The 23,127-nt window shown below is 51.4% G+C and overlaps 1 protein-coding gene across 5 annotated transcripts in view, besides 3 other annotated features; it reads right to left on the bottom strand.

The window, feature by feature from the left end:
- The window catches only part of CFAP77 (cilia and flagella associated protein 77), a 163,109-nt gene that overhangs the window by 57,708 nt on the left and 82,274 nt on the right, over positions 1-23,127 (bottom strand). For 4 of the 5 annotated variants that reach the window (NM_207417.3, NM_001282957.2, XM_011518670.3 and 1 more), the window contains 2 exons: positions 16,818-16,917; positions 16,012-16,240 (listed from right to left, as the gene is read on the bottom strand). In NM_207417.3, the coding sequence (NP_997300.1) occupies positions 16,012-16,240; positions 16,818-16,917 (329 nt within the window). Of the gene's footprint in view, positions 1-2,205; positions 2,354-16,011; positions 16,241-16,817; positions 16,918-23,127 lie in introns of those variants that run through there. The other variant, XM_011518671.2, reaches the window with a different exon arrangement.
- Positions 4,647-5,184: an enhancer, noted in NCBI's record as "H3K4me1 hESC enhancer chr9:135385815-135386352 (GRCh37/hg19 assembly coordinates)". NCBI's record gives its function as "activates a minimal SCP1, AML or CMV promoter by ChIP-STARR-seq in primed H9 embryonic stem cells {active_cell/tissue: H9 hESC(primed)}" and the evidence as "EXISTENCE:reporter gene assay evidence [ECO:0000049][PMID:30033119]".
- Positions 5,185-5,724: an enhancer, noted in NCBI's record as "H3K4me1 hESC enhancer chr9:135385275-135385814 (GRCh37/hg19 assembly coordinates)". NCBI's record gives its function as "activates a minimal SCP1, AML or CMV promoter by ChIP-STARR-seq in primed H9 embryonic stem cells {active_cell/tissue: H9 hESC(primed)}" and the evidence as "EXISTENCE:reporter gene assay evidence [ECO:0000049][PMID:30033119]".
- Positions 17,755-18,256: an enhancer, noted in NCBI's record as "H3K4me1 hESC enhancer chr9:135372743-135373244 (GRCh37/hg19 assembly coordinates)". NCBI's record gives its function as "activates a minimal SCP1, AML or CMV promoter by ChIP-STARR-seq in primed H9 embryonic stem cells {active_cell/tissue: H9 hESC(primed)}" and the evidence as "EXISTENCE:reporter gene assay evidence [ECO:0000049][PMID:30033119]".

The following is a 23,127-nucleotide window of genomic DNA, read 5'->3' as shown; positions in this document are numbered from 1 at the left end:
GAAAGGAAGAACTAGGACCAGCCCGCCCATCAGGCCGAGAAGGCCCCGTGCCTGGGCCCAAGACACTTTTAGGGACTCATAAAATATTTAAATTTCTTTTAAAATCAGAAAAAAATAAAAATAATTCAGCCTGGATTATATTCATCTTTATACTAACATAACCATAAAATAGATTTTTTTAAACAGAGGAAGGGACACAGGAAGGCAAGTGTGCCCAGGGGTGCCAGAGTCCTCCTGCAGCCCTGGGAGGGAGGTGTCAGCCCTCAGGTCCAGCTGCCCTGGACCCAAAGACACAGGCCTCCGCCTGAATAAGAAGTTGCATTTGACACAGTCTCTCCTTCCCTCAGAATGTCGAGCCGGGGTTCTCTGTCTGAAGAGTGAATAAGAATCACCTAGAGAGCTTAGTAAAAGTAGAGATGTCACCTTCCACCCCCAGACATTCTGGCTTTCTGGGCCTGGGGATGGGGTGGTGGCAAGGAATCTGCATTTTAACAAGGGTGCCTCCCCCACCCCCGCCAAGTGGTTCTGGCACACGTGTTCCCTGGCACCCTTTGAGAGTCCCAACTCTGAGCCTTTCCCGGGCAGGGGACCCTCCACTTGCTGGCCCCCGGCACTTCTGTCCTCCCAGCAGAGAGCTGGGGCGGGCTGGGGGGCTGAGCTCTGGCGCCCCGGAGGCTGCTGCACCCCTTGGCCCACCCTCATCCCCTCATTGCCTTTTTCTTAATTCACCCCTTGGCTCCAGGGCCTGTTTCTTCTAGGAAGAGGGGTGGAACTGAGGCCCCGCCTGTCTCCCTAGCAGGACTCTTAGAACTAATTAGAGAAGAGGACCTCTGGGCTTGTGGCTACTTTTTAATTGTTTGTGGATCCAACATAAAAGCTAATGACGCCGGGAGGCTTGGTTAGCGGCACACACCTGACTTCTAAATCTGAATGAGAGGTCATTTGCAACGTGTTAACACTTTTCACAAGGATGAATTCAATTAGCAGTTCCGGCACCGGTGCAGGCAGCAGGCGGCAAGGAAGGCAGCGCTCGGTGAAGCCAAAATGGAAAGGGCTGAGAACAGGAGATCCGCCAGGCCACTCAGAAACCGACTGGGCAGGGGGATCCTGGCTCCGGGGGCAAAGGTGAGTCCCAGGTGGGCACCTCTGCCCGGAGGTAGTGAGGATGGCAGACCCCACAGACTGGGTGTTAGGAGACTGGATTCTCAACAAGTGTGTGTAACTCAGCGGACAGCCTCACCTGTGGGCCTCAGTTACCCCTTTTCCAAGGTGATCATTGATACCCATCCTTTGCCTGACCAGGAGGACAGAGCATCTCCTCACTATCACCCGTGGTCAATGACACAGGGGAGGGGCGTCTCCTGTCACCATGGTCAATAACACAGGGAAGGGGGCGTCCCCTCACTCTCACTCGTGGTCAATGACACAGGGAAGGGGCGTCTCCTCACTGTCACCCGTGGTCAGGGACACAGGGGAGGGGGATCTCCTCACTGTCACCTGTGTTCAGGGATATAGGTGAAGGGTCATCTCACCATCACCTGTGGTCAGGGACACAAGACGGGGGGATCTCCTCACTGTCACCCGTGTTCAGTGACACAGGGGAAGGGTCATCTCACTGTCACCCATGGTCAGGGACACGGGAGGGAGATCTCCTCACTGTCATCTGTGGTCAGGGGTACAGGGGAAGGGTCATCTCCTCACAGTCACCCGTGGTCAATGACACAGAGGAGGTAGAAAGAGTTGAGAAGATGGGAGGGCAGATGGGGCCAGCACCCGGAAGGACAATTGGGGTTGTCGGCACAGGCAGAGGAGGTCTCATTCCAACCAGCAGCTCTGCTCGTGGACATCAACCCCGAGGACCCTCGCACAGGGGCACCAGGTGTGCCAGGGTGCCGGTGGGGGCCTTGTCATGGGGGGACACGAGAAACACCTTAGCAGTAGAGAGATGGGTACACCTGTGGCGGACGATTCAGACAGTGGGACAGGGTGATGTTGCAAATGTGTGTCATGAGATGAGCGAGTCATGTGCAGAGTGACTTCCAGGGCACAGGACCCCGCTCAGTAGTCCCTATGATTTATGGATCGCTAACGACAGAGCAAAACTGGGCACGCTGGGTGGAAAGCATGCGTGCTCCAACCTCGGGAGGGTCCTCAGGGAAGACGGGGAGGGGCTGAGGCTAGGAAGGTGTGCACAGGGGCCTCAGATTGTGTTTGACACGTTTTATTTCTTCAATATTAAAGGAAAGGATCAGAAGCGAAAGCGGCCAGATGGTTAGCGTGCTAAATCCAGGTAGTGGGTTCACGGGAGTTAGTTATGTTGCTTCTGAACTTTTCTATTTGTTTGGAAAGTTTTCTAATAAACACAAAAGAAAGGATTGGTTAAAATGTTTTGCTCCCTTGACTAGAGTCAATAATAACTTAATTGCACATTTAAAAATAACTAAGAGTAGAATTGGATTGTGTGCTTGAGGAGCTGGAGACCCCATTCTCCACGATGTGATTATTATGCATTACATGCCAGTATCGAAACATCCCATGTACCCCATAAACATATACACCCACTATGTGCCCACAAAAATTAAAATTTTTTTTAAATTAAAAAAATAAAATACCTGCTCCTCATAAAAGCATTTATACCTATCATCTCTATCTATTTATTTATTTGAAATGGAGTTTTACCCTTGTCACCCAGGCTGGAGTGCAGAGGCACTATCTCAGCTCACTGCAACCTCCACCTCCCAGGTTCAAGTGATTCTCCTGCCTCAGCCTCCCAAGTAGCTGGGATTGCAGGCACCTGCCACCACGCTTGGCTGATTTTTATATTTTTAGTAGAGACAAGGTTTCGCCATGTTGGCCAGGCTGGTTTCAAACTCCTGACCTTAGGTGATCTGCCCGCCTCGGCCTCCCAAAGTGCTGGGATTACAGGTGTAAGCCACCACGCCTGGCCTATACCTATCATCTTTTGACTGATTACAAACCCCTTCTGCATTTTTCACAAAAACATAAGGGGCCAACAGGTAGCAAGACTCCAGGGGAAGCCATTGTAAAATTATAATTCTAAAGATTGTTTTCTCAAAACCCAACGACACCTAAAATGCAGGACACTCTGACTTGATTTGTGTTAAGATGCTTCGATGATTAGAGTGGGCTGAATGGTCTCCCCTCCACCACCAAAAGATGTGTCCATATCCTAACCCTCCTCCAGCCTGTAAATTTGACCTTATTTGGAAAAGAGGTCTTTGCAGATGTAATTACATTAAAGATCTTGAGATAAGATCATCTGGGGATATTTGGCTGAGCCCTAAACCCAATGATAAATATCTTTGTAAGAGACAGAAGAGGAGAAGACAGAGATGCAGGAGAGACAGCCACGTGAAGTTTGAGGCAGCAGTGGCTGAAGGGATGCCAAGGAACACCTGGGGCCACCAGGAGCTGGAGGAGGTCGGAGACCCTCCCCTAGAGCCCGCAGAGGGAGCGTGGCCCTGCCAACACCTTGATTTCAGACTTCCGGCTTCCAGAGCTAGGAAAGGATCCATTTTTGTTACTTTTTTTTTTTTTAAACAGAGTTTTGCTTTTGTTGCCCAGGCTGGAGTGCAGTGGCATGATCTTGGCTCACTGCAACCTCTGCCTCCCAGGTTCAAGTGATTCTCCTGCCTCAGCCTCCCAAGAAGCTGAGATGACAGGTGTGTGCCACCACACCCAGCTAATTTTTGTATCTTTGGTAGAGACGGGATTTCACCATATTGGTCAGGCTGGTGTCGAACTCCTGACCTCGTGATCCGCCCGCCTCAGCCTCCCACAGTGCTGGGATGACAGGCGTGAGCCGCCGCGCGGCCGCTTCATTTTTGTTATTTTAAGCCATTGAACGTGTGGTAATTTGTTTCAGAAACCCCAGGAAATTAACAAACGATGATTTTCAACAGCTCCTGTAGCTGAAGCTCAGTGCCCTGCAAGAGTCGTGCCCGGGAAAGAGTTGGCCGTCTCATGTGCTCTTGGCACTAGAATAGTGCCTGTTCCCAAAATCCAGGACGCACTGCATTTGAGCAATCTGTTCCCTCTCACGCAGTCAGTCAACAAGCGTTTACTGAGCACCTACAACATTCCAGGCAGGCACATGCTTGGCACTGGGGAAGGAGGAGTGGGCAACACCAGGCCCGCCCCACTGAGTCTGGTGGGGGAGATGCTCAGGTCTGCAGGCAGTGGCCACACAGGGTGGCCTCTCCAGGCAAGAGACACAGGAGTGTCTGAAGGACGGTGAGGCCTCCGCCAGGCAAGGTGGGAACGAGCATCCCTGGCAGAGGGAAAAGCACCTGTGAGTCCAGAGAAACGTGGGGAGGGAGGGAGTTCAGGGGACTGAAGGAGGTTTAGCTTGGGGGAGTCAGAGTCAAGTCTCAGCAGACCCGAAGGTACCCTTGTGCCCTCTCTCCTGGGTCCTCTGCCCACTAGAAACAGCATGCACTGCCTTGCTGTTATACCTGCTGATTGCATATTGGTTTGTTTTGTGTTTTATTTTCTCTGTATCCCAAACACCCAGCACCACAATGCCCAGCACAGGTGGGCACTAAATGAACTCTCAGCATAGGCCGGAGGTAACGAATGTGGGTTCTGAGATCAGATCCCAGCGTGACCCCTTTGCAACCACATGACTGTGTACAAGTGTCTCTGGGCCTTGGTTTCCTTGTCTATAAAATGGGGATAAGAGAGTCAGTTGCTACCTTAGGGCCCGTCTGGGGATCTCTTGAGTTGATGTGTATGAGGCACCCAGCATGGTGTCTAGCCCCGGAAACTGGCACTATTATTCATCAAAACGAATGCAAGGCTCCAGCGGTTTCTAGCTTGAACAGCCACTCCCATCTGGCCTCCGACGGGACTGATGGGGCCCAGCGTGCAGCTCTGTCCTGTGAGCTCACTGTTCCTCCACACGATGAGATGATCTGGCCACCGACGGGATGTATCAGGGCCTGCCTGCAGCTCCTCCTGGCTGGGCTCACCGCTCCTCTGCATGACGCGCTCATTCTGTGACTACTTTTGCTTGCGGGGTCCCTTGCCACAGTGGGATGTGGGCTGATGTGTTGGGCTTGATGCCTGGTTCTTCGTGCAGTGCCAGGGAGGTGCCGGCTGGCTCACAGCAGCACCATCTCCTCCGTGTCCCGGAAAGAGCTAAACCAACCTCACCCTAGCAGCCCCTCTGATTGTGTTGTGAGCTGGAGGCTGTAGAGGCGATAAGAGGCCCACGGCCGGGCCAGGCACCAAGCCGGACTCCCGACTCTGGACTCCAGCGTTGGCTCCCAGAAGGGCTTTCGCTGTGCCCCTCCCCTGACACGGGTGAGGCCCAGCTCTGGAAAAATCAAAGGCAGAGCAGAGCATGTGCGATGCAACCTGGGAGGCTCCGAGGGGAACCAGCCGGGCCAGCCTCGTTAGCGTTGACCTTGGCACCGAGCTGCTCCTGATGGATGGGGTTCGGGCCTGGCCAGGCCCTGGGGGAGTGGCGGCCCCATCCATTACGGGCCCATCAGTGCCTCCCTGAGCCCTCCCTGCTTGGGATGCCGCGAGTGTCAGGCCGCGAATAAATCTCTGTCCGGGCCACAGGAGAGCCGAAAGGGAAACAAGGCAAAGCATGAAAAATGTCTCTGTCCTGGCTCTGGAGACAAAGCTCCCATGAAGGAGGAAGGAGCAGCAGGAGTTTGGGGAGGGAGAAAGGGTGGATCAGGAGCAGCCAGTCTGGGGCCCCAGGGAGGCTGGGCTTCCTGGGAGTGGAAGGGGGAAAAGATGGGGGCCCCAGGCTGCTACCTTCTCCCAGTTATGGCTCCCTGCCTGTCCCCCACCTTTTTTGTTTGTTGTTTGAGACAAAGTTTTGCTCTGTCGCCCAGGCTGGGGTGTAGTGGTGCAATCTTGACTCACTGCAACCTCGACCTCCCGGGTTCAAGTGATTCTCGTGCCTCAGCCTCCCGAGTAGCTGGGATTACAGGCACCCACCACCACACCTGGCTAATTTTTGTATTTTTAGTAGAGATGAGGTTTCATCATGTTGCCCAGGCTGGTCTCGAACTCCTGACCTCAAGTGATCTACTTGCCTTGGCCTCCCAAAGTGACGGGATTACAGGTGTGAGCCACCGAGCAAGACTGGCCCTCAGCCTGGGCCCCTTTTAACAAAACTCCTTGGAGATCCAGGTCCATGGAAGCAGGCAGGCCTTGAGGAGCAGGGGACCCCTGTCGGACTCAGTTCAGGGGGCTCCCAAAGCCCCAGCAGAGGTAGCCCGGGCTGGGCAGCCAGCCAGTGCCTCCACCTCCCAAAAGAACCTGTTCAGGCCGCTAAGGGCTAGGGTCCTGGTGTAAGCTGCCTGGACAGAGTCCCCACACCTCCATTCGCCACCTGTGACCTCTTGCTGAGGGACAGAACCTCACCATGCCTCCCTTTTCTCATGGATAAATAGAGGTGACGGGCGTCTGCTGCACAGGGCTGCAGTGAGGATTAATCCATTTGCTCTGTGGAAAGCCAGGCCCCAGTAGGTGCTCATCAGCGTTGGCCGTTCATTGCTGTAACTGTTGTTCGTAGCCGCCATCTCGCTGCTGAGGACTCACCTCCGCACCAGGCCACTGGCACCAACGTGAACGGAGCTCAGGATGAGAAATGACTTCCTCGCCCAGGGCCTTGCTCTGCCTCCTGGAAGCATGCGGCCTGTGGATATGAACAGCCGCCCTGGAGGGAGACTCGGCTCAAATCCTGGTGCTGCCTCCAACTAGCCAGGAGACTTTGGGCAAGTGACTGTCTCTGAGCCTCAGTTTCCCCATCTGTAGAATAGGGATGATAGTCTCTACTTGGTAGAGTTGTATTTAATGAGATGAGGTACAGGGCTCAGTGTTGGACGCAGCGGTCACTCAGTGGGGGCCCAGAAAGTGTCAGCTGTGAGGACTGCCCCCTTCCAACACACATTCTGAACACACACAGCTATGAGGACTGCCCCCTTCCAACACACACTCTGGTCCTCATTTTGTTCTCTGAAGCCTCTGAGAGCAAAACCCCCCCACTGTCCTAATCCCAGGGCTTCAGATGGTTATAGACAGCTGCTGTGTCTCTGCGGCATCTTTTCACGTCCAGCTAGGAGGACCTCATCTCTTCTCCTGTTCTTTGTACACAGTAGACACCCTCCCCCTCTCCCGCCCATCATCCTGACGGCTCCCTTCTAGACGATTTCCTGTTTATGAACCTTCCCTTGAATGTATGATGTCCTGCATTCTTGAGCTTGATACTACAAGTATGGCCTGAGCAGCTGAAAAGAGCAAGGAGGTCACCTCCTTTGTTCTGAACTTGCTACCTCTATTAACATGGCTGAGGAACACATTCATTCTCTGAGGCAGCATCACTGCACTGCAGACTCATGACATCAGTCGGCGGCGCGGGGGGCGGGGATCACAGCGGAGTCTATGAAGTGTCATCTCTGGCTTTAACGTCCCCTCTCTGGGTCTCAGATGGACTCTCTCTTTGCTTCTGATAACTGTCTCAAAGTCTTAAAGGGCCCCAGACTATATTCGAGTGCTCACTATGTGCCAGGCATTGTGTTGGACGCTGAAGATGCAGCGATGGATGAAACTGACATTCTCCCTGCGCTCTGGGACCTGACATACAGCAGAGGAGTATTAACGACAGTCGCAGTCAGTGCCAGGGAGCAGATTATGCGGGGGACAGGAGAAACTTGGCTTTGCAGGGGGCAATGTACATTTCAGGCCCTCTCTGAGGCCCGGGGATCTTTGCGAGATCCACATGCTCCCCCTTGTGGTCAGACCAGGTTTCATTCAGCCGGGTTTCAGGACACCAATAAATGCAGACGTGGTCTCGCCCTTCAGAAACTGCCTCGGATCTCTGGGATGGCTGCTGGGGAAAGGGCTTATTATTATTTTATAGGAGCTTGGGTGGGTGGCTTGGATTTTTTTGGCCATCGGATCCAGGAGAAACAAAATCACCCAGAGTGATTGATGGGCCCACTGTAAATTTGTAAAATATATCAGCTTGGCAGAGAGATTCAAAAAAACCTGTCAGGCAGCAAACATTTTTTTAACAGCCTGTAAAATTTCCTGCATCCTTCACATTTGTCAGCGTCAGGCTGATGATGCATCTGATAGCAGGACCAGCAGCGGCTGCAGACAGAAGGCTGGGCCAGCAGCATTTCCCGCTTATCTGATGTTTCTTATGTTTCCATGGTCTGAAGGCTTTCTGCACCAGGATTGGGGGTGTAGACCAGGCTAATTAGTGCTGATCTAAGGATGCTACTCAGGTTGCACGTGGCAACTGGCTTTATATCTGGACCCCAATGTGGCCATTTGTTCATGCACTCATTCAGCAACTCCACGAAGGCCTCCTCCGCAAAGGCACTGTGGTCAGCACCACAGATCCTGGCGTGAGAAAAGCAGGCCTGGAGCATCCAGCGTGGTGAAAGTTCTGGATGCCCTGACAAGAAGTTTGAGTTTATCAGGAAGTGGTTGCCGCTGAATGTGAAAGGGAAGGAAGTGACCCAGAAAGGAGAAGCTCAGCAGGTTCTTTGGGTCTGTTCAGATTAAGTTCTAAAGCCTTAAGAAAAATCCAGACAGGATGGCCTTACACAGAATCCTGTCTCATCCCCCTTCTAGTGCTGGAAAAACATGAGCAGAGTCCCTGCCCGTGTCACCTCTACCCCTGTGTTAGGGAGGCAGATCAGACCCTTGGTCACTGTCATAGGCATTCAGGCCACACTAATCCTCCTCGCACTGCACAGAAGCCAAATGACTTGACCTCTCAGACCCTCTGTCTCTTCTTCTGTAAAACGGGGATAGAAGCATTCCAACCTTGTACTCACTTGAGCTAACTTTGTACTCACTGAGCTATTCAGAGTTAGTTAATGAGGATGCTCCTGAGGACCTCGGCAGTGTCTGACCTGAGGTAGTAATAATAACACATAGTTGCCATTGTTAGTGCAAAGTAGGGTCTTCCCACCTTCCATCTGGCCCATGTGAGACACTGATGCGCAAGGGGCTGCTTGCTGGTTGACTGAGTGATGGATGTTCCTGCTGGCATCTGTGTCTTGACTGTGGCCCAGGCTCCCAAGCAGAACAGCGGCAGAGCCCAGGGTGCCCAGAGTCCACCAGGAGCGCCAGCTGCTGCCGGGCCCTCCCTGCTCCTCCCCTCCCCGCCATCCCTGACTCATCATAATCGACAGTGCCGGGCCAATTAGGAGCAGTAACAATTAAGATGTGCCGAGGGCATGCGAACATTTGCAAACACTTATTAAAGTGCATCAATAATTAAGTGTGTCTTTAATAGTTACATATCTGGCCTCCAGACATATCTGTTTCCGGACCTTGGGTGGCAGCATGCTTTGAGATCTGTGTTAGGGCCTTACACGCTGGTAATGAGAATTTAAAATTCTTCCCTGACTTGAATTCTGGGATTTGACAGTGAAACAGCAGCGAGAGAATGCCGGGGCTCTTTCCAGCTGCCTGATCCTAGAGGTGTGGTCTTCAAAGCCAGCTGCCAGACTGGATAGAAATCCGGGCTCTGCACCGTAACGCCTCGGGGAGGGCCCTTGCCCTCCCTTTCCTGGCCTGTGAAGTGTGCAGAATGATACCTGTCTCATAGGAAGGACATAAGGGTTAGCAATTATGTGTGCAAAATGCCTGCCACGTTTAAGATCGATGCAGAGCAGCTTTTGTTAGCGGTGGCTCATACTGTTATCAGAGGACACAAAGAGGCTGCCGTTAGCTGAGGGATCGAGACAATCCGTCTACACCAGGGGTTCCAAACTCCGTGCCTACCTGGACTAGGCAGGTAACAAAAATGAGAGAAGCCAGTCTGGGTGAGGACTGGGATAAACAGTCCATGGATTCTGTCCAAAGGGATGCTGCCCCTCAGCCCCAGCCCCAGGAGCCAGGCAGAGCGCAGATCCACTTGCCCAGGCTTCTGTTTGTTCAAGGGAAATGGAAAATTCAGGTATTTATATGAAATCTCCTGACTTTTTAAAAATGTGGCAACTCAACCTTTTTTTTTCCTTTAATTACTGTACCAGCCAAACTCCTCTGTGGATTGATTTAGCCACAGCCCCAGGACTGACCCTATGTCTACACGGCCCCCAGTCTGCCCCCATGTCTACACAACCCCCATTTTCCAGATAACTCCTCAGGTCTCCACTTCCTGCAAGCCACAGAGGCTTTGGGATTGAAATGCACCCTTCCGATTTAGTGACAACCTGCAGCAAATCGGTGTGGATTGGGAACCAAATAGGATAACTGGGAAGGAAGTAATTGAATAATCTAAATTCGGCTTTGCATCCCATCTGGTATTGAGGCTGAATGGGCAGATTCAGAGACGTGTGGAGAAGAGGGGGTGCACCCCTCACCACAATTCATTTGCCCACTGCAAATCTAGACATGGATGGGGGTTGGGGGGCTGGCTGTGGTCAGAATCGTAGCTCACAGGGTGGCAGTCACAACCCCTCTGCTCATTAGCATCCTAGCTTAGAGGGAGCGTTAGTGGATTCAGTCTGAGGTGGGACTTTATTTTTTTAACACGTCTGTAATTGTGAGTAAATAACACTCATTTTGTTTTTGTTTTGTTTTGTTTATTTATTTATTGGACCAAACCTCCCCAACACCTCCTCTGTCGGGTGTAATCGGATTTGGTGTTTTAACATGCTTTTAAAGTAAAGAAAGAAATGCAGTTGAGGCTTGTAAAAGGTGATCATTAGAAAATGGGCCTTGGCCCCATAACTTTAAAGTAATAGCCCCATTAGGGAGCGGGGCAATGATTTTGTCACCGTTTCCTCCGCACTTATGCTGCAAGGTGGGTGGAGGCTTTCCACGCAGGTTGGGCATCTCAGTAAAAGCTTTTCCAGAAGCCATTTAACCTCCATTTACGAAGAAATAAAGTGAAATTGATGCTGATTTGGGCCTGCTTTGGGGGATATTTCTGCTCCATAAAAGCCCTTTTGCCTGCAATTTGCGGAGCTGCCCGTCACATCAGGAAGGGCTGCTGTTGATAAAGATAAAGCTTTATGGCCACGATATTTGCTGCTAACAGCAACCTAATGCAGCATTTTCATTTTTGTGCAATTAATGTTAATGTCTGCTACGAAAATTGTCATTAAATACCATTTTAAAATCCATTCAATTTGCATATGCAAAGCCCATTTACCATCACAGAAGATACAGCCAGCACTTCATCACGTCCTTTCCCTGGAATTGTGGCCACTTGGTTTTACAGCAATTTAAGATTCTATATTGAAAGCTGGATGATAATGCTTGTCCTTTCTGAGCCCAGCTGACTTCAGTGATGCCGTGGAAAACCCCGGCACTAGGATGAGAAGCTGTGGGTGTTCCGGCTGCACATCGGTTCCAAGGAAGTAGGACACAGAGTGAGGAGCACTGGATGGGGAGCCTGACAACTGGACTCCAGAACTGGCTCAGTTAACAAATTGCTGTGCAACCTTGGGAAGCTCACTTCACCTCTCTTAACTTCTTTCTATTTTCTCCTGTTTTAAGTAAGGGCTTTGAACCAGGTGATCACAAGTGTCCTTTGTGTTCTAATCTTTTCTTTTCTTTTCTTTGAGATGGAGTCTCACTCTGTCACCCAGACTGCAGTGCAGTGGTGCGATCTTGGTTCGCTGCAACCTCCACCGCCCAGGTTCAAGCAATTCTCATGCCTCAGCCTACTGATTACAGATGCATGCCACCACGCCCGACTCATTTTTGTATTTTTAGTGGAGACGAGGTTTCACCATATTGGCCAGGCTGGTCTCGAACTCCTGACCTCAGATGATCCACTCACCTCAGCCTCCCAAACTGCTGGGATTACAGGCGTGAGCCACTGCACCCGGCTCTATTTTTAAATATAAACATACTAAGGGTTGAGAATCCAGGCCAAGCCCTGCCATGAAGAGGTTGTGTGAACTTGGGGAGGTCAGTTAACCTCTGCCTGCCTCAGTTGGATAGTAATCCTGCCCACCTCTGGCACAAGGTTTTCATAACCATGAAAATAAATTGGCGTGAAGGTTTAGACCCAAGCTGAGGAGGCAAAACATAGCCTGAGAATCACAGAGTGCTGTGATTAGTATATGTGTCACTAGTGCAGCCCCCTATCTACAGATGGGGAAACAGAAGCCCTGGGGGGAATGTGACGTGGAGAGCTGGGGACAAAGCTGGAACTAGCATCCCAGGCCAACTCCCGACCCAGGGCCCCTCTCCTGCCACCACACTGTCTTTGTGACACTTGGTCACCAGCATGGACTGATCTAGTGACCTAGTGCACAGCACGGACCAGGAACAGGGGCTCCTCTCTGCCCCAGGCAGCCTGCGAGAACAGGGCAAGGGAGGGCACATGTGTTGGGAGCTGAGAAGAGGAGCTGGATCAGCAGCAAAAGTCACAGGGGATGCCTTGGGGGACCCACTTGGGGGATGATTTCAAAGGTACAGGGAGGACGATGTACAGGAGTTCATTAATCCAGCCCCGAAGTGACTTTCCAAGGTGTCTCTAGTGTCACCTTCCTGGTTTCAGGGCTGGTGAATAGAAATGCATTTCTGGGGAGAGATGTGCCTGGTATTTGAGGCCACGAGAGGTGGGAAAACTTACCAAAGAGGCGATGCTGAGCTGAACTTTGAAGAATGAGTAGGTTTTCCCACCTACTCAATCCTCAGGGTTCTTTCCCATGAGTAGGATGGTGGGAAAAGTATACAAAAGCATACACGGCACATGCTGTGGACAGCAGTGTGGCGGGTCCCCAAAAACTTAAAACACGATTACCACCTGATCCCGCAATCCCACTACGGGGTCTACACCCAAAAGAACTGAAAGCAAGACTGGAACAGACACGTGTCCGTCCACGTCCACAGCAACATTATTCACAATAGCCAGAAGGTGGAGACAACTTAAATGCACATCAGCGGATGAATGAGTGACAGGGAACATTGCTCAGCCCTGAAAAGGAATGAAATTCACATGCGTGCTATAACATGGATGAACCACGAGGGTATTACATAAATGAAATAAGCCAGACACAAAAAGCCAAACATTGTATGATTCCGTGCATATGAGATCTCTAGAGTAGTCAAATTCATAGGAACAGAAAGTAGAATGGTGGGTGCCAGGGGCTGGGGCGTTTGTGTTTAATAGGGAAAGAGTTTCGGTTTGGGATGATGAAAAAGTTCTTGAGATGGATGGTGGTGACGGTCACACAACGACGTGAATGTAATGATTCCCACTGAATTGTATACTTAAAAATGGTTCAGATGATAAATCTTCTGTATATTTTACCACAATAAAAAATTAGAAAAAATAAAAAATAAAGAAGGAACTACCACCCCCCTCCCCCAAAAAAAAAAAATATATATATATATATGATGGCACAGTCAAAGGAAGGCACCTAGTCCAGGAGAAGCAAGAGGGGAGATTGGAAAGATAAGCTAGGGATGGAATGTCAGTGGCCTCAAATGAGGGCCGGGCAGGATGCTGCCACGCAGATGGGCTGAGATGTTGGCTTTGTCAGTCACAGGCCACTGAACGGGGCTTCGGATTGCAAGAAGTCCGCTACTGTCTGGGAGCAGCCGCTTCTATTTATTTGTTCAGTGCAATGCACAAATATTGGTCATTTTTGTGCTAATGACCAGCTTGTGTAGTGAGGTAGAAAGGGCTGGGAAGTCCTACTGCCTGCCTGATGTCCATTCCCCTCCTGGAACACAACCCTGGTCTGTACGTCTTTTCCACCATCGGCCCACGTAGATTGCAGGGACTGATTTCACCCCTGACTCCAGGGAAGGGCGCATCATCAGACCAGGCCAGCCAGGCTTCAGATTCCCCTGGCCTCAGCCATTGGCTCTGAGGCAGACACATGACCCAGGCCTGGCGTCTCAGCCCTGACCACAGTGGCTGAGTAGAAGATAGTCATGTAACCGGGCGCAGTGGCTCACACCTGTCATCCTAGCACTTTGGGAGGCCAAGGCGGGTGGATCACCTGAGGCCAGGAGTTCAAGACCAGCCTGGCCAACATGGTGAAACCCCGTCTCTACTATAAATACAAAAATTGGCCAGGCGTGTTGGTGCACGCCTGTAGTCCCAGCTACTCGGGAGGCTGAGGCAGGAGAATCACTGGAACCTGGAAGGGAGACAGAGGTTGCAGTGAGCTGAGACTGCGCCACTGCACTCCAGCCTGGGGGACAGACAGAGACACTGTCCAAAAAAAAAAAAAAAGAAGATAGTCATGTAACCTGAGCTGGCCCAAAGAGTCTTGAACTCAAGGTGTCTGTAGCACCAACGCCCTTTGCACTGGGCTGTTTAGAGAAAAACAGAATAGAACTGCTGCTGGCCATTTGCAGGTGAGGAAGAAGCTTCTCAGAGAATGGAGCCAAAATCAGGAAGCACAGCCAAGAAACAGAGAGACCTGATGCTGATGATGTTGCCTGACTGCCTAGATCCTGCTATGCCTGAAGCTGTCCCTGCACTTTCCAATCATGTGAGCCATGAGTGAGTTTCGATTAAACACAACTACATTCTGCTTTTATAGAATGTCATGTGTGCCAGGGTTGGGACATGGGTCATGTCTGGCTCATTTCATCTGTGTGTTAGCAAGATAACTCTGGAGTAATGTGGAAGGTGGCTTGGGAAGGGCCAATTCTGGAAGAAGAGAGAGCAGTTAGCTGGTTTCTGTAGGGCAGTCAGAAGAAGATGGGGTGTTGACTGGATGGGACGCATGGCTCTTCTCTTGGTGTCCCCCCATCTCCCTCCCTACTTGCGTGTGGCCTGTGGGCCCTCATTAGCACTAGGGAGCTTATCTAAGCGCCAGGCCGGTCGTGCCCTTGTTGACAATGGTGAGGATGTGGACCCATTGGGACATGCGTGCCAGTCATCTAAACTGTGGTGACAGTGGGGCCACCAGGCAGTCATTTCTCAGGGGATGGAAGAATAGAATAGAACTGCTATTTCTCAGGGGGAGTGTGGGAGGTTTCTGGGGTGCCAGATTTATTCTATATCTTTATCTCAGTAGTAGTTGCTTGAGTGTGTCCATTTGTAAAATTGCATTAAGCTGAACCCTTCACGATTTGTGCATTTCACTATGTATAAGTGAAACCTCAATAAAAAATTTTAAAAATTTCATAGCTCTTGGATCTACAACTCACATTACATCATATCTTAACATGAACAGTAGCTAATACTTGTTGAGTGCCCTTTGTAGGCCAGGCCCTGTGCTCAGGTTTTTATATGCATTACGTCACTGAAACCTCGGCATACGGTGAAACAGGTGCTACTGTTATCTCCATTCTACAGATGTGGAAGCTGGGGCAAGGATCCCATGGCCAGTTATGGCCAGAGTCCACGTTTGAGCCCAGGCTCCAGAGCCTCTCTCCTGGCTTCCCGGGGGTGGTGCCGTGCTTGGGTAACTTGGCAGGCTCTCCCATCTGTCACTCCATGAAGACAGAGACAGGTTTTTTTTTTTTTTTTTTGGAGACAGGGTCTCACTCTGTTGCCCAGGCTGGAGTGCAGTGGTGCGATCACTGTTCACTGCAGCCTCGACCTCCTGGGCTCAAGCAATCCTCCCGCCTCAGCCCTCAAGTAACTGGTACTATAAGCACGTGCCACAATGCCCAGCTAATTTTTAAAATTTTTTTGTAGAGACGGGGTTTTGCCACGTTGACCAGCCTGGCCTCGAATTCCTGGACTCAAGCGATCCTCCTACATGGGCCTCCCAAAGTGCTAGGATTACAGAGATGAGTCACTGGGCCTGGCCCAGGGACAGGTCTCAATCACTGTTTGTTGATCAAGGGAAAGTGGGTGACCTGTGCACAGCCCTACAGGGTACCCTGCTATAAGGCCAGGACCCAGCTCAGCAGGATTCAGGGTGTGGCTATAGAGGTCACACAAGAGAGAGTCATTGAAGAGAGGACAGTGGGGCTGGGAGGATGCTCCACTTCCCTGTCACCCTCCGACCTTGTCCCTGATTGAGCTGGTACCTCCACCCCCTCAAGGGATGAAGCCCTGGCTGCCAGCCACCTTACCGTGCCCGGATCCCAAATGTCATGTTTGGAGGGAGAGGGGGCGGCTCTTTCTTCATGCGCCGGTCATCCTGGTCACTGATGCGGATGTCATTGAGCTGACGGTAGAGCAAGTTCTCCCGGGCAGTCACCAGGCCGGCTTTCACCGCCCCGCGGTTCATTGCGATATAATTCCGGGTCAGCTCGTGGGGGCAGGTGGGCTGCTGCTTGAACACGTTCCAGCGTCCGATGGCTGAGGGCAGGGAGAGACCCACGGGGCAGTGGTCAGCCTGGGAGTAAGCACCCTGAGGCAGCTGATCGAGAAGAAATGGGGGCACGCGGGTCCTCGGCCTTCCCATTTACCTGAGCCTACTGGGTGACAACCCTGCCTGGCCCCCAGAAAGCATGATGGCCCAAAACGGCGGGATCAGGGCTCCCAGAGATCCTGAGGGTACCCAAGCCAAGCATCTTCCCTGGAGCTGGGCTGGCCCTTGACTTCCTCTGGGCAGGCAGAGGGTTGGTCCCAGTCTCATTCCATTCTTGTAACGTGAGCAGCATAGTGCACACAGTCCCTGCCGGCGGCGGGGAAGGGGGGCGGTGCGGGGATACCCATGCTAGTTCCCTGACACCGCACACCAGGGCCCTGCTTGGCCCTCCCCATCTGGGCCACTTCCTGGGTTTTACCAGTCAGCTGCCCAGGCTGGCGGTCCCTGGGTCTTTCTCCAGCACCCAACCAGCTGCCAAGCAGCGAGCTAGGTCAAGGGGTCTGTGAAGAGGGGTGAGCCTCCCTCCCACTCCTCTGCCCTCATGCTCCAAAGCTGCTCGCTCACCTTCAGGGACTCCTCCGTCAAGCCCTCGGATGTAGAGTCCATAATTAAAATTAATGCCGGGCAGACTGTAGCTTCTTTCCCGGGGCTTGCCGAGTTCAGCCTGTCGGGGGAAGGACAGAGAGCAGAGGTGAGGAGTGGAGTCTCAGACCAAATGTATTGTAATCCGGCAGCAGGGAGGCACCAGATGCCTGCATTTCCCCCAGGCCCTGCCGTGGCCTTCAGGGTGGCACAGGAGTGGGTGGCAGAGCCCTCCCTGGGAGGAGCGCAGGCTGTGGCTGGCACAGGGTCACACAGCAGAAGCGGGTCTGTGTGTCTGTGCTGAAGGCAAGTGAAGACATCAGAGACGGGGGGCCTCTCGGTACATGTGTATTGTTGGAGTGGGGAGCACAGTCCCCGAGCTGAGCCGCTGTGTTTGGGGTGCAGCCTAGACCTGGCTGGCTCAAGCTGGAAATGCAGGACCCAGTTCAGGAGGCCTCATCTGGAGGCCCCGTCGAAGGAAGGAGACATCTTTCCTACCTTCATTCCCACCTTCCTCATACCAGGGACCACTCAAACCATTGTCACTGTAGCACATGAGGGAGTCACTTCCTCGAATCCTCACCTGGGGAAGACACAGTGACAGGGCCACTGCCACCCATCTGCACCTGGCCAGATGTCCTTACTCCCTGGGACTCTAGGGAACTCCTTGGCCTCTCAGAGGTGGTTTGTGCAAATGAAATTGCCCTGTCATCAACCACATTAGCCGCCCCCACCCTGCCGCCACCACCCATTTATAGCTATAGAAACTGAGGCCTAGAGAGGCAGGGTCGATATCCCCGGCCCCCAAGCGCTGGGCAGGGCATCGCATGGAGGCGTGCCTGTCCTCTTGACTGGCGCTCTTGATCATCCTGCCACGCGGTCTCCCTTTATCACAGCAGCTCCTCGAGGTCAGAGACCCTGTCCTGCACAGTGCTTCGAACCCCATCGCACCCGCTGCATCAGTGGGCACTTGCTGGGTTCGGACTGCATCCCAGGCACAATGTTTGGGGCTCCCTGGCCTTCCCTCATGCCGTCTGCATAGCTGCGCAGTGAGGCAGGTCTCATTACCATCCCCGTTTCTCAGGGGGAAGCTGAGGCACAGAGAGATCCGACAGGTTGCCTCAGGTCAAGCAGTAGGAAGTGGCAGAGCTGGGACTGGAACCCAGGCTGGCTGCCCCCAGCTCATGCTCAGATCCACAAGCCAAAGAAATGCCCACAGCCCCAGCTTCTTGTGGCTCCCTGGTGCCAGCAGGCCCCGGGGCCATTACTGAGAAGGGTGGGTGCAGCTGCTCCTTCCACTGTCCACAGGCCACAGGCCACAGGCCACAGGCGGTGGTTTCGAAGTCACAGGGTGTTACATTTCCCGGGATCTCTCCACTCTGGCTGCGCCAAAGACTGTCCAGAGGGTCTGGTGGGCTCTGGCCTCGCTGTCTCCTGCCATCTCGTCTATATCCCCCTCTCTCCAGCTCCCACAGGCTGGGTGCTGAGAGGTAGACAGATGGTCAAGGACCACCCAGCGTGGCTCATCACTGCCTCTGAAATAAACCCTTCCCTCTGCTGGCAGTCCAGGCCCTGCACCCTCCAACCCCACCCAGCCCTGCAGCTTTGCCTCCCAGGCTCCCCCACAGCACCCCCTGTTGAGATAGACAAACCCACTCCCCCTCATCTGAAGGATCGCAGGCATCCCAGCCACCTCCATTGCTCTTTGCTCAAGGCCCACCCTTACTGGTCCTTATTCTTCAAGCCCTGTCTCTGCCAGAAACTCTCAGGACCCCTGGGTTCACCATGGCTCACCCTCGTCTGAATGCCAGTGACTCTTAGCTATCTGTTCTGCTCATTTGGGGCTTAGAACTTGCCACCCTCATGGTTTCCATGAATGCACATGCAGACCCCCCTGCCTGGATTACACACTCCTATCCAGCCAGAGCCATGGCTCCTATTACCTTCTTTTTCCTGTTGGCACACAGCAGGTGCACAATAAATGCCTGATATTAAAAACCACTTCCTCTGGGAAGCCTTCCCGGATTGGCATCAGTCCTAGACAAGCCTCCTTATTATATGGTGGCACCACAGCAGCCTCAGCCTGCCTTCCCAGCACTTACAAAATGACAGGGTTGTACCCGCGGTAGCATGGATAGAGTTGGCAACATCATGCTGAGAAGCCAGACACAGAGGGCTGCCGCATCCTGCATGATTCCATCTACATAAATGTCCAGAACAGGCAAATCCAGAGACAGAAAGTAGCTTCGTGGTTGCCAGGGCTGGGGACAGGTCGGATGGAATGATTGTAGCCGTGATGGCTAAGGGGCGTTCTTTGGGGAGTGATGAAAATGTTTTAAAATTGATTGTGGTGATGGTTGCACAAATCTGTGAATAAGTTAAAAGCCATTGAATTCTACATTTTCAATGGGTGAATTGTAGGGAATGTGAATTACATCTCAAATAAAATCACAAAGTAGTGTACTTAAGTCATTCATTGCATAATGATCAGTTTAATGTCTGTCTTCCCTCATGAGCCTGTGTGCCCCACAAGGAAAGGGATCTAATCTTTATTTTTTAAGGTTTTTTTTAAAAAAATAGACTTTATATTTTACAGCAGTTTTAGGTTCACAACAAAAGTGAGCAGAAGGTATGGAGATTTTTTTGTATACCCCATGAATCTTTATCCTCACTCTTCTTTTCCCAGGCCTCAGTGTAGAATAGATGCTAATAAATAGGGGTTGAATAAATGAGTGGGTAAAATACTATGTCTTAGTCAGCTTAGGCTGCCATAGCAAATTATCATTGACTGGGTGGCTTCAACAATAGACATTTATTTCTCAAAGTTCTGGAGGCTGGGAAGTCCAAGATCTAGACACCAACAGACCCAGTGTCTTGGTGAGGGCTCTCTTCTTGGTTTGCAGATGGCCGCCTTCTTGTTGTATCTTCACGTGGCAGAGAGCAGAGATAGAGTTAGCTTTCTTCCTCTTCATTTAAGGGCACAAATTCCATCACAAGGGCTCTGCTTTCATGATCTAATCATCTCCTAAAAGACCCACCTGCTAACGCCATCCCATCCAAAGTTAGGTTTTGAATTTTAGGGGTACACAGACATGCAGTTCATACAGCCTACTTTGAGACCATTGGCTCTTCTTTACACAACAGTTGATCATTTTTCTTCCGCTTCTTTTCCATCTCAAATCCCAGACCCCAATGTTCCTCAAGAGTGATGGGGCTCTGAGTTTCAGGCGGGTGCATGGGGACCCTGCAGGGTGGCTTGTTTTGAATTCCTTCCATACTATGCTCTCTGAGTTACAGACAAAGCTCTGGCCTCTCATTTGTTTATGAAAATGATCCGGCCTCTCCAGTGACTGCCGGGGAAGTTAATTAAAATGTGACTTCTCTGGGAGAGACTCTGCCTCCCTCAAGGCAGGTGCAGGTGGGCAGAGTTTCAGCTGGCAGGGGAATGACAGACAGACTCAGGAGCTGGCTGCCACCCTCAGGCAGGGAGCAAGGAGCAGGTGTGTGCCTCAATCTCTGCTTTTTAGTGTGGTTGCCTGGGAATCAATAACTGCTGAAACATGTGGAAGCTTTAGACTACAAAAAAAAAAAATCCCAATGGGAGGTTTGCTCATACTTTCATTCCACAAATATTTATTTTGTACCCACTCAGCGCTAAGCCCTCTGTGCTGGAAGTTCTAGGGTGAACAGATCAGACACACAGCCCTGCTCTTATGAAATTCACTGTCTTGCAAAAAGTACAGTTAAGCAATGGCAGTCATGTTCACCAGGGTATTTGATGTGGGAAGCAGAGTGCCCTTGGTTCTAAAAGTCTGTGAGTTTAAAGCGTGAGAGAAGATATCCATAATAAAGTAGTCTTATCCATAATATATAAAGAGTTACTACAAATCAATAAGAAAGAGGCAGATAGTCCTACAGAAAAAAATGAGCAAAATACTTGAATAGGAACTTATTTAAGAGGATGTCCCAGTGGCCAAGAGCCATACATATGTCAAGGTGTCAACCTCTGGGAAATGCAAAGAAAAAATTCACTGTTACTGGTAAGGATGTGGGGCAACTGGTATACTCATGCACTTGGTGAAAGTGTAAACTGCTACAACCACCGTGGATAGTGCTGTTTGGCACTATCTCTTGAAGCTAAATATATGCCTGTCCGATAACCCAACAATTCCATCCTGGACATCCAGCAGAAATGAATGTGTACATCCACCCAAGAACATGTCTAAGGATGCACATAGCAGCTCAATTCATGATAGCCAACTGCTAGAAACAACCCAAGTGGCCATCGTAGGTGGATAAAAAATTTGTGACATATTCATAACACAGAATGCCCTACAGTAGTGGTCCTCAGTCAGGGGTGATAATGTGCCCTAGAGGACATCTGGCCATGTCTGGACATATTTTTGGTCGTCATGGTTTGGGAGAGGGTGCTATCCTCCATTTAGTGGGTAAAGGCCAGGAATGCTGCCAGGCATCCTACAATGCACCAGACAACCCCACTACATCAAGGAGCTATCTGTCCCTTGATGCCAACAGTGCCCACAGAGATTAAGAAACTTAGAATGAGCCAGGTGTGGTGGCTCACGCCTGTAATCCCGGCCCTTTGGGAGGCCAAGACAAGCAGACAATTTGAGCCCAGGAATTTGAGACCATCCTGGGCAATATAGCAAAACCCCATCTCTACAAAAAATGTAAAAATTAGCTGGGTATGGTGGCGTGTGCCTGTGGTTCCAGCTACTTGGGAGGCTGAGGTGGGAGAACCACTTGAACCCGGGAGGTGGAGGCTGCAGTGAGCCATGATTGAACCACTGTACTCCAGCCCAGGTGACAGAGCGAAACCCTATAAAAAAAGAAAGAGAGAGAAAGGAAGGAAGGAAGGAAAGAAAAGAAAAGAAAAGGAAAGAAAAGAAAAGAGAAAAGAAAAGAAAAGAAAGGAAAGAAAAAAAGAAACTCTGAGAATGAAAGAACGTTACTGTGGGCAACCACATGTGTGGTCCTGACACAAAGCGTGGAGTGAAAGAAGCCAGACACACAAGGGGTGCGCTCCTCCATGCGGATGCAGCCAGACACCAGCAGAACTCGTCTCTGGGTTTAGAAGTCAGGAGTGCAGGACCCCTGGGTGGGGGCAGTGACCGAAGATAGCACCGGGGGCTTTAGGTGTCATGATGTTGTTGACCCAACGTGTACCCTTCACACCATACCTGCAGCCTGCTGCCCTCCCCCAGGAGCCATTCATCCATGACTGTGTCTGCCAGCCCTTTCCCCCAACTCTCTGCTGATGGAGCAATGTGCTCTCTGTCCACAGCGGAGACCCAGCTTCACATGAGAACTGCATGAACACCGGCACCAGATAAACCACAGCAACAACAACACAATGACTATTTTTTTTCCAAATGCATTCTCTGGTCTATGTTTCTTAGACTAGAGAGTCTCATCCTGAAATCCCCAAGAATGCCCATAGCAGTGGCTTTCTCATTTCCGAGGACTTTTCCAGACCATAGCATCGCCTGGAAGGATGAAGTGGAACTTCCCAGGAATTCAGCCAAGAAGCAGATTTGGACACTCAGAAAAGCCCCATCATCCCCTCAATCTTCTGCCCTGGCACCTGGACTTCCTTTCTTCTTGGGCAGGCTACACTACATCACAGTGTCAGAGAGGGTCATGGGTAGGAAACCCCAGGGGTTCCTGGGCCTCACTTGGGCACAGCCGGAGGCCACCCACGGGGCTTTGTGAGGACTCCTACATGCAAAGCGCAATAAAGCAAAGCATGATCAAATGAGCATGGCTGTGTCCGCCCAGGCTGGAGCCGTGGGAGTCCTCGGCAACCTTCCCCTGTATTCCACCTGGCCCCGGATACCTCCAAGGCCTGAAATCCCACTGTCCACAATCCAGCCCTTTAGGTGCAAGTACGGTGTGTCTCAGAGTCCCTTTGTTCACGTGCAAATGCCCAAGAGGAGCAGCACATCCACTCATTACCAGTTCATCTGCCCCACAAGACAGGCTAACTGGACACCCACCTGCCCATGTGCCCATCAAACATCTATAATCCTGACATCCACATGCCCGGCTCCCCTGTTACTGCCGATTCATAAAACAATCCTGTAACGTGGTGTAACCACTGTGCTGATTTCACAGGTATGGAAAAGAAGGCATGGACAGCCGGAGGGTCCTGATTGCCCAAAGCCGCATGGCTGAGTGGCCAAGGTGGGTCTGAACCCACATCTGACTCCACAGTCTTTGCTGCCTCCTACTTCATGAGCTGGCATTTAGCATAGATGGCCTGGGCTGGATT

Source organism: Homo sapiens, chromosome 9, assembly GCF_000001405.40.
Source record: "Homo sapiens chromosome 9, GRCh38.p14 Primary Assembly".
Lineage (NCBI taxonomy): Eukaryota > Metazoa > Chordata > Mammalia > Primates > Hominidae > Homo > Homo sapiens.
Note: the sequence above shows the minus strand (reverse complement) of the source record. Positions and strands in the feature narration are given on the sequence as shown.